The sequence below is a fragment of the Homo sapiens genome, chromosome 9, assembly GCF_000001405.40.
Source record: "Homo sapiens chromosome 9, GRCh38.p14 Primary Assembly".
Classification (NCBI taxonomy): domain Eukaryota; kingdom Metazoa; phylum Chordata; class Mammalia; order Primates; family Hominidae; genus Homo; species Homo sapiens.
This window is the reverse complement of record NC_000009.12, coordinates 26,612,564-26,624,190: the sequence shown is the minus strand read 5'-3', so window position 1 is coordinate 26,624,190 and position 11,627 is coordinate 26,612,564. Positions and strand designations below refer to the sequence as shown.

Below are 11,627 nucleotides of genomic sequence, written 5' to 3'. Positions count from 1 at the left end.
TCTCAATACTTCTCCCAATATTTCTTTTTGTTTCTCCAAAGGAGAGCTCTCTCACAGGCCTATTTTTAATGTGTTGTATAACAAAAGAAAGTTTTAAACAGAGCCAAAACAAACATCCACCACTGCACTTAGGGATGAGCAGCTTCTTTTCTTTTGGGAAGAACAATCTGTTAATTTCCCACCTCCAGTGTTGTGTCAACCTTTTGGTCAGAGAATGTGGAAATGATTTACCAAGACAGAAGTTACTCCCTTCTTAGGTAACTAGATTCATGAATGAGCGTGGATTTCATATTCTGCCAGTATTTTTTCTATTCTAACATTATAATAAAAAGAAAAGAAAGGCAAAATAACTTATGAAAAAGTTTCCATTTTCACTTTCCATAGACTTTTCTGTTATTTGATCATATGTAGATATGATTATTATGTATTTCCAGCCAGAGTTGGGATACAATTCTGTTATTTTAAAATATTGCATTGAATATTCTTCTGTGTTATTGTCTTCTAATAAATATTTTCAATGACCATATATTTTATTGATTTCATAAACCACGTCATATTTTTGTATGTTCCATTGTTTTTTACCCCATTGCTTTTATTACAAACATTAAAAATAAACATTTTTGTATATAGCACTTCTTTCACTTAATTCCCTAGAGTTAGACTACTGAGTCAGAGGACGTGAGGGTTTTTATGGGTTTTGAAACTCTTTTTTCCAAATTATTTTCCAAAGTGGTGAATCTGTCATTTTTTTTTCAATTGCCAGGGGTGCTAAATGCACCTCTAGCCATTTATGGGATTTGAGTGGAGGACAGAATATGTAGGTGGCCTAGAGAAAAATGATTGAACAAATGGTTTCTTTCCCAAACAATCAAACTCAGGTTTATAAACCACAGACTCAAGATAAGTGGCTAAGTAGTTAATTTCTGGATTTTTATCCCCCACGTGTTATTTATGTACTCTGGTCCCCTCTTTTGTTTCAGACTACACATGCCTTTCACCTACAGATCCAGCAAATCCCTGGAAAGGCCCTTATTACTTCTCTGCCAAAGGCTTAACAGGAAGTAATAGGCTCAAGAATTCAGTTTACAGAAGCAAGCATTCCTGCCTTGCCTTCTTCATTTATTTATTTCTTTTTTTAATTATACTTTAAGTTTTGGGATACATGTGCAGAATGTGCAGGTTTGTTACATAGGTATACATGGGCCATGTTGGTTTGCTGCACCCATCAATCCGTCATCTACACTAGGTAATTCCTCCTAATGCTATCCCTCCCTTAGCCCCTACCCCCCGACAGGCCCCAGTATGTGATGTTCCCCTCCCTGTGTCCATGTGTCTCATTGTTCAACTGTAAGTGAGAACATGTGGTATTTGGTTTTCTGTTCCTGTGTTAGTTTGCTGAGAATGATGGCTTCCAGCTTCATCCATGTCCCTGCGAAGGACATGAACTCATCCTTTTTTATGGCTGCATAGTATTCCATGGTGTATATGTGCCACCTTTTCATTATCCAGTCTATCATTGATGGGCATTTGGGTTGGTTCCAAGTCTTTGCTATTGTGAAGAGTGCTGCAATAAACATAAGTGTGCATGTGTCTTTATAGTAGAATGATTTATTGGGTATATACCCAATAATGGGATTGCTGGATCAAATGGTATTTCCAGTTCTAGATCCTTGAGGAATCACCACACTGTCTTCCACAACGGTTGAACTAATTTACACTCCCACCAACAGTGTAAAAGTGTTCCTATTTCTCCACATCCTCTCCAGCATCTATTGTTTCCTGATGTTTTAATGATTCCATTCTAACTGGCATGAGATGGTATTTCATTGTGGTTTTGATTTGCATTTCTCTAATGACCAGTGATGATGAGCTTTTTTCCATGTTTGTTGTCTGCATAAATGTCTTCTTTTGAGAAGTGTCTGTTTATATCGTTTGCCCACTTTTTGATGGGGTTGTTTTTTTTCTTGTAAATTTGTTCAAGTTCCTTGTAGATTTTGGATATTAGCCCTTTGTCAGATGGATAGATTGCAAAAATTTCCTCCCTTTCCGTAGGTTGTCCGTTCACTCTGATAAGAGTTTCTTTTGCTGTGCAGAAGCCCTTTAGTTTAATTAGACCCCATTTGTATATTTTGGCTTTTGTTGCAGTTGCTTTTGGTGTTTTAGTCATGAAGTCTTTGCCCATGCCTATGTCTTGAATGGTATTGCCTAGGTTTTCTTCTAGGGTGTTTATGGTTTTATGTCTTATGTTTAAGTCTTTAATCCATCTTGAGTTAATTTTTGTGTGAGGTATAAGGAAGGGGTCCAGTTTCAGTTTTCTGTATATGGCTAGCCAGTTTTCCCAACGTCATTTATTAAATAGGGAGTCCTTTCCCCATTGCTTGTTTTCATCAGGTTTGTCAAAGATCAGGTGGTTGTAGATGTGTGGCTTTATTTCTGAGGCCTCTGTTCTGTTCCATTGGTTTACATATGTGTTTTGGTACCAGTACCATGCTGTTTTGGTTACTGTAACCTTGTAGTATGAAGTCAGGTAGTGTGATGCCTCCAGCTTTGTTCTTTTTGCTTAGGATTGTATTGGCTATATGAGCTCTTTTTTGGTTCCAAATGAAATTAGAGTCGTTTTTTCTAATTCTGTGAAGAAAGTCAATGGTAGCTTGATTGGGATAGCATTGAATCTCTAAACTACTTTGGGCAGTATGGCCATTTTCATGATAACGTGTCTTCCTATCCATGAGAGTGGAATGTTTTTCCATTTGTTTGTGTCCTCTCTTATTTCCTTGAGCAGTGGTTTGTAGTTCTCCTTGAAGAGGTCCTTCACATCTCTTGTAAGTTGTATTCTCAGGTATTGAGTGAATTGCCTTGCCTTTTGCCAACTTCTGCCTCAAATAATAAAACCAGTATTTAAGTAACTTGTATTTCCCCGAAGTTCGAAAATTATTTAACACACATGCACACACCCACCCTCCTACCTTAATTCCATGAGGTGTATGGTAATTTGGCTAGAGAGAGAAAACAGAAATCTGGTTCGATTTACTAATTGAACTTTGATGTCAGGATGGGCCAACTCAAAAAATAGCTGAGTCCTGAATAGAGAAAGAGGCACAGCAGGCAAAACCCTGGGGTGAAGCAGAGGGTCCTGTCAGAGTCAGAATGAAGACAGGGGAACTGCACACCACACTCCAGGCTGTAAGTTTACTATCCTTTACCTACATGTCCACTTACACAAAAGGAGAGGGAGAACTAGGGACAACAGAAAAGGAGAACGCTAATCTGCACAAAAAGGGCCACCTGTAATCCTACTCCTCCAAATCTTGCACCACAAAGGGTTGGTATGTGGAGGTCAGCCATCACACTGACCCTTCAGGGCATTCTGCATCTCTTTTAGATGAAGACCAAAGATGCCTGTCTAATTATTCAGGAAGACAATAGTGGATCTAGGAGAGAAGCAAAAATATTAAACAGCTACTAAATAATAGAGCCAGAGAGGATACCAAAGGGGGTGAACAAACTATGACAAAACTAATCTTAAATTCTACTAAAGCAGTTCCTAATTTCCAGGGAAGCCTTTATGGATGGGACCTCAGCAGGATGGCCACAATCCAATACTGAGATTTTTCTAAGTTGGTTTGATTGTTAAGGGCATCAAACCAAGCTGCTTTCCCTCAAAGCTGGATGCTAGTAAGCTTTTCTTCCTGATCTCTATAATTCTGTCAAGGAAGTTCAGGGATGGGATTTTTTCCAGCTGAACTTTTAAACTTAAGGTAATTAATTCTTTGTAGTGGAAGCCATGATTCCAAGTACAGGCTCTGTTTATCTAATTCACTATTTTTAGATAATTCACATGTATCTAATATCAGTTTTTTTCATTTCCATCACCATGTAGCTCTTTAGATACACATATAGATATGCATATCAAGATTTTTTTCAGTCGGAGTCTCCCTCTGTTGTCCAGGCTGGAGTGCAGTGGCAACATCTTGGCTCACTATATCAATATTTATATCTAAATATATCTATATAAACCTGATAGAAGGTATTATTATTAGAAGGAGATTGTCTCCAGAATAGGCCTTAGAGGACCAGGATGTTTTGAGAGAGAAGAGATAACAAGGAGCATCTTATTATTTTTTGAGATGGAGTTTCGCTCTTGTTGTCCAGGCTGGAATGCAATGGTGTGGTCTGGGCTCACTGCAACCTCTGACTCCTGGGTTCAAGTGATTCTCCTGCCTCATTCTTTGAGTAATTGGGATTACAGGCATGTGCCACCATACCAGGCTAATTTTGTATTTTCAGTAGAGATGGAGTTTCTCCATGTTGGTCAGGCTGGTCTCGAACTCCTGACCTTAGCCTAAGAGGTGAATAACATTCCCAATGCCATTTAACTAACAGGAAGCAGAAGCTGTCTAACTCCATTTGTCCCAAATTAACCACCACTCTCCAGTGCGTTTACTTTTTCTTTATTTTGCTTTGAGCCCACATCAAAAACAAAAAACAAAACTCTGGTTCATCGACCTGACTGCTGATTGAAAGAGCTGACAGTGGTAGATGAGCAGGAGATCTCTTTCAGAAGACCAGTACCTTTGGAAATCTTGAGGAATCCTCATTGAGAGGAAAAGTTAAGACCTAATAGGTTATTTTAAAAGAATACATTGATTCCAATGACTTATGTTTTAGAATGTCTTTCGTATCATAAATTACTTAATTTTAATAAATAAAGTGTATAAATTAAAAAAAGAATACATCGTTTCAAATGAAATTCTCTTAAACATTTTCATTTGATATGACAGTAGTTTGTCCTCAAAATGATGAAAGTTTGTTATCTGATATTGGAATAATTAATGTTCAGCCACTTAAGAAAAAAATAAAAACTCAAAGCATTGAAAGAAATTGAATTTATATTTGCAGAGTAGACTCCTGCAGTGTATTTATCTTTACTGAGCTCAATGTCATTATAACCAAATTATCAGAGCATGCTCATCTTTTATACAAATGAAATTTCTTACTTCATTAATATGATGAAAGTTACATCCAAAAGGGAAAATGCATAAAGTAAACTTCTGGTGTCCTTTGAAGCCCAATCATATCACTGAAAACAAACCTGCTGGAGCCTACTCAGTATGCCTTTGAGTTTAAAAGGTACTGATAATCTAGAATTTTTAAAAACATAGTTACTTCTAGGGGAAGTTAAGTCCCTTAATTGTATGGTAACAGAGCAGTAGTATCTGGGCTACTAAATGTGATCATTGTTTTCCTTAGTTCCCTAGTACTGTGTATTTAGAAAGTACTTATTTCCACTTGTCACTCAGTGAACCCTTCTGTAAGAATTGAAATTACTTGGACAGGGTAGATGCCACATTCTTGCTATGTTGTAGAGAAAACAAAGGAAAACCAAGAATCAGTGATTCCATAAGTAAAAATCACTTTATATTTTTAGAAAACAGAATAGTATAAAGCACTTGAACTAATTTTGAGCCAATAACTGTACGGGTGTGTTCAAGGGCAAAGAGATAAGAATTGTCAAACTCAAGATTCAAATCCATGATTTCTGAAAGCTTTTACTAATGTCATTCTTGTAAAAGACTTTGAGGGTAATTATTAATTTCTAAAACAATTTAAAAATATTATTGGTGGAAATATAAATAGCTAAAACAAACAATATCAAGCTACTAATACATGCAAAAACGTGGATGGATCAGGCATAATGTTGAGTTGATGAAGTCTGATGCAAAAGAGAACATACAATATGATTGCATTTAAATAAAGTTCAAAAACAGGCAAAACAACGACTTCTACTTCTGACCAAGGGCGATGACCTGGGACCAGATTTATTCTTCCTGAAACAAACAATTTCAGACAAAATATATGAAACAGTGGTTTTCAAGATACTAGACAGCAGGCAACAGACAGTGATCTTTGAGAGATGAGAAAGAAAGTAGGTGAAGCCTGGAGAGAGTTTCTAGATTGCAGTGCTCAGAGGAAGAATGTAGATGAAGGTCTGCTGAAGGTCTGCAGCTTCTCTAGTACAGGAGATGAAGCTGCCAGTCTAGGAAGTCAAGGTAGTTAGAGTTCTCAGGGCCAAGTACTGGAGATGAGAGAAATCCAAAGATTCTTGAGAAGGACTCCTTTGAGACTTCAGCCAAATACTTATTGGTGCTTGCATGTAAGGGAAAGAACCATCCAAAAAGATTAGTGAGAATAATCCTTGGAGATCACTGTGTGACCAGACTGGCTCCTTTTCCCATCACCCCGAATATAAAAACCTCATAATTTACAGAGAATTGGGTAGAGTACTAACTCAGTAGTTGCAAAATATTAGCCCTAGCTCTGGTTCCACCTAATAAAGCTCAAAGCAAGACCCAAAATAATTCAACTGTTTCCATGTAACTGAACCATGTCCCAGAATAAAGCTCAAGAATATTTATAGAAAAAAATAGCCAGTACCCTAAAGGTTAAAATATCTGGTATCTAATAAAAATTATCATGCATGTAAAGAAGCTGGAAAGTATAACCCATAATGAGGAGAAAAATCAATCAATTAAAACTCAGAAATGACACAGATTATAGAATTAGTATAAAAAGATATAAAAACAGTGATTATAACCATATTCCATGTACTTAAGAAGACAGAGGGAATACTGAACATAAGTAGAGACATGAAAGATGTATAAAAGACCCCAAAGTAGGCACAGCTAACCTAAAGTGATAGAAGTCAGAATAATATTTAGTCCTGGGGAATATTAATGGTGGGGAACATGAGGATGTCTTTTGAGATGCTGAAAATGTTTTATATCTTTATCTTGGTGGCTTTATATGTGTGCGCACATATGTAAAGATCCTCTGAGCTGTACATTTAAGATATATGTACTTTATGTAAGTTAAACCTCAAAATAAATTTCATATTATCTGATACTGTTTGCAAAGCAAGTCAGCCAATATGAGTAAGTAAACCTTTTATTCCATTGGATGGATGGAATTGGATGCATGTCCTCAGGAATGTATAGTATAATTCCTATAGGAGACAGAGATTAGATACCATGGAGGAGCTAGAAACTACGTGCATAATAGTGACTTATCTGTCATTTTAGTTATATTAGTGCCAACTGGTCATTGAAGACGGGACTCACATTAGTGGCTCAATAAATGTTGGTTGCCCTTATCTCTTGCCAGTTTTTGTCTATGCAGGTCTAAGACGTAGACACAGGGAAGAAAACCAGTGATTTAATTTTATGCATTTTGGAGAAGAGATATGAAGAGAAGGTCTAGTGTACCGAAAAAAATGAGTGATCACATCTTTTTTCCCAGGAAGTCTGCACATGTGATACAGAACAAATATGATCATGCAAGTTTTCAAACCACATAAATCAATCTGCCACTTCCAAGATACAGAATGTGTGAGGACAAAGGGGCAAGAATGGAGTCTGGGCTAGTCTCCATCTTTAAATGAGAGTCCACACTATCAACAGAATTAGCTTTCTATTGTTTCTGTGTGTCTGCACCATCCCCACCAAATACCAGATACAGGCAACTAAATAAACACTTTTCGTTCTCAACAGGCTCACATAAGATTTCCATTTCTGTGATTCCCTGGAAATTCCATAACTAAATAAGATTGTTTTAGAGTATTTTTCTTCTATAACCACTCATACAGGTACCACTTCTTTTTCTTTTTTTTGAGATAGAGTCTTGCTCTGTCAACAGAGATTGCAGTGGCATGATCTTGGCTCACTACAACCTCCGCCTCCTGGTTTCAAGCGATTCTTCTGCCTCAGCCTCCCAAGTAGCTGGGACCACAGGCACGTGCCACCATGCCCAGCTAGTTTTTGTTTTTTTTTTTTTAGTAGAGACGGGATTTCACCGTGTTGACCAGGATGGTCTAGATTTCCAGACCTCGTGATCCACCTGTCTCGGCCTCCCAAAGTGTTGGGATTACAGGCGTGAGCCACCGCGCTCGGCCTGATACTGCTTCTTAATTACAATAAGTCTCTCACCTAGAATTCCAGTAGGTCAAGTTACGGATCTGAGAGCAAGAAGTTAGCTTTCTTTCCCGTAAGGGAAGCACATTTTGGATGGAGAAATTTCTCACAGGGGTTTCCTGGAGACAGAGTGAGTTATTTTGAATATTGTCATTAATTAAATAACAATGGTCACCCATATCCCCTTGCAGGTAGGGAAGCAGGCTTCCTGGCACTCTGAATTTGATATTACTTTGTCACCATTGTTTTAGATGAACTGTCAGATAAGCTTTTCACTGGAGTGTTTTGCAGGATACTATCTCTGTGTGCTGTGTTTTTTGGACACTTGGCAGAAGAGCCATGGTAGTGGCCAAAAGGGGAAGAAATGAAAGCACCAGATGGTTGTGTTTAACCTTTTTACTCAGAATGTGTATCAGCCTTAGCCTGGAAGCATGGGCAGTGGTCATAGCTGCAAATGCTGATTTTCCTGGGTACCTTTGGGAAACACTGTGACCCAACACTGGGAGGGGAGATTTGTATGCCACCAGTTTTGTAGAACTCAACAGTAAAACTGTCCCTGGTATCACTAGTGACTCACTAGAGTTGTCTGGATAGGGTAAAAAAAGGGTCACAATAATAGAGATGAGTATTGCTCTAATTCTGCCCACCCCCAGCAACCCCTCTACCCCCTATTCTGTGGGCATCTTATCTCTATATTTCTCCCTACTCGTTCAGGAAGTTCCCACAGGTATCTCCAGGTGGTCATGATTAAGATTTGTTTTTCAACTCATCACATTGTGCCTAGCAGTTTTTCTCCTTTCCTGTTCTGGTTGTCTAATTTTAATATCATGGAAGCTGTTGTGGAAGATTGATTACATTGATGACACCATTTCATGGCCTCTCTGCCCTTTGCCCTGTAACACTGTAGGCAACTCCCGCTCTGACTCTGGAGGGACTTAGCCCAGTGTTTGCTTTGACCAATGGGGCTTGCAAAAACACTTGAATGCTTTTGTTTCTTGTTCCTCTGCCTTTGCCATGAGAATATGGCCAGACTAGTCTCCTGGAGGATTAGAGACCTTGAGGGACAAAGGCAATTCATCTCAGCTGAGGCCATTCTGGGGTCCCCTCAGACCACAGAATGAATATTGCTTGAGTGAGCCCAGCTAAGATCAGCCAAGTCTGGCCCAGACCAGCAGAACTATTCAGTCAACCCACAGACTATTGAGTGAAATAAATGCTAATCATTTTAAGCCACTGGATTTTGTCGTTGTTTGTTATGCAGCATTATTGAGGCAATAGATAACTGATATACCTGCCTATGCCATGAATCCCTTTGAATCAGATCCACATTTGTTTCTCTCATTCCACATATTGTGGGTCTGGCTCATAGCTCAGGTTACTGTTTCTGAGTTCCTACAGTCACCCCAACTAGGAAACATATGCTTCAGTCTCCCAAACACTGCTGCCTTGTACTCTCATTGCTGTGTCATCTAGGGATCTCGTTTTTAAAAAAACATTATGAACTACCTCAAAAATAAAAATATAGAGAATCCTATGACATACATCGTTCTATATTCTTATCACATAGAGTTTCCAAATTATTTTTCACTTTGTCATTTGTACCTGTTTCCTAGTGCTGCTGCTTCAAAGTACCATGAAATAATTAGGTGGCTTAAAACAGTAGAATGTTATCATCTCACATTTTGGAAGCTAGACATTTGAAATCAAGGTGTTAGCAAAACTATGTTTTCTTACTTTTTTATGAGGCACGGTCTGGCTCTGTCACCCAGGCTGGAGTGCAGTGGCATGATCTCAGCTCACTGCAACCTCTGGCTCCCAGGCTCAAGCAATCCTCCCACCTCTACCTGCCAAGTGTGGGCGGCAAGCCACCCAGGTGCCGAGGCAAGAGACTGAGGACACGAGCTGTTCCAGTATAATAAAATATAAAATAAGAATAGTTATACCAGATATAGATCTTAGATATAATTATATATGAATATCATTAATCATTAGTTTGTAGCAATTACTCTTTGTTCCAATATTATAATAATCCTTGCTTTATAATCATAACCTAGGAAAAACCAGGCCATACAGAGATAGGAGCTGAGGGGACATAGTGAGGAGTGACCAGAAGACAAGAGTGCGAGCCTTCTGTTATGCCCAGACAGGGCCACCAGAGGGCTCCTTGGTCTAGCGGTAACGCCAGCATCTGGGAAGACGCCCATTGCCGAGCGGACAGTGGTCTAGCGGTAGCCTCAGTGTCAAGGAAAAACACTGGCTACTTAGCAGACCGGGAAAGGAAGTCTCCCTTTCCCCGGGGGGAGTTTAGAGAAGACTCTGCTCCTCCACCTCTTGTGGAGAGCCTGACATCAGTCAGGCTCGCCCACAGTTATCCAGAGGCCTAACCGTCTCCCTGTGATGCTGTGCTTCAGTGGTCATGTTCCTAGTCTGCCTTCATGTTCCATCCTGTACACCTGGCTCTGCCTTCTAGATAGCAGTAGCAAGTTAGTGAAAGTACTGAAAGTCTCTAATAAGCAGAAATAATGGTGTAAGTTGTTTCTTTCTCTGTCTCCTCTTTCTCTCTGCCTCAGCTGCCAGGCAGGGAAGGGCCCCCTGTCCAGTGGACATGTGACCCACGTGACCTTACCTATCATTGGAGATGACTCACACTCTTTACCCTGCCCCTTTTGCTTTGTATCCAATAAATAACAGTGCGGCCAGACATTCGGGGCCACTACCGGTCTCCGTGACTTGGTGGTAGTGGTCCCCCGGGCCCAGCTGCCTTTTCTTTTATCTCTTTATCTTGTGTCTTTATTTCTACACTCTCTCGTCTTTGCACATGGGGAGAGACCCACCGACCCTGTGGGGCTGGACCCTACACCAAGTACCTGGGACTACAGGTGCAAATCACCATGCCCAGCTTTTTTTTTTTTTTCTGTATTTTGGTAGAGACAGGGTTTCACCATGTTGTACAGGCTGGTGTCTAACTCCTGAGCTCAAGTGATCCTTCTGCCTCAGCCTCCCAAAGTGCTGTCATTACAGGTGTGTGCCATTGCACCCAGCAACACTGTGTTTTCTTGAAGGTTTTAGAGGAGAGTCTATTCTATTCCTTTCTCTTAGTTTCTGGTGTTGCTGGCAATCATTGACATTGCCTCCAGCCTCTGACTCCATCGTCATAGGGTGTTTTCTCCTTCTGTCTTCATGATCGTATAAGGACACTAGTCGTATTGGATTAAGGACCCATCTTGCTCTAGAATGACTTCATTTTAACTAATTACATCTGCAACACTCTTATTTCCTAATAAGTTCACATTCTGAGGAACTGGGGTTAGGACTTCACATCTCTTTTGGGGGAACACATTTCAACCCATAACAGGATTACTAATATTTTAGTTTTTTGCATCTATTTTTATAAGTAAGCTTTGTCAATACTTGTCCTATTCTTGTCTGGTTTTTGTATCAAGTTGTTTAGCCTAATAAAAATAGTTTGAGAAATTTACCTTTTTTACTATTTTCTGAAACAGCTTGCATTAAGTAGGGATAATCTGTAACGTAAAAGTTTTGTCACATTCGTCTGCAAAGCAATTTGAGCTTATTATTTGAGAAGGGGAGGTGATTTTTTGACTCATGATTCTATTCTTTTAATGGCTATTGGTTTCTTCAGCTTTTCAGCTTCTTCTA

At 39.3% G+C, this 11,627-nt stretch overlaps 1 annotated feature.

Annotated features, from left to right (window-relative positions):
• Nucleotides 10,086-10,380: a silencer, noted in NCBI's record as "tiled region #5633; HepG2 Repressive non-DNase unmatched - State 13:Ctcf". NCBI's record gives its function as "represses a minimal TATA promoter and a strong SV40 promoter by Sharpr-MPRA in HepG2 cells {active_cell/tissue: HepG2}" and the evidence as "EXISTENCE:reporter gene assay evidence [ECO:0000049][PMID:27701403]".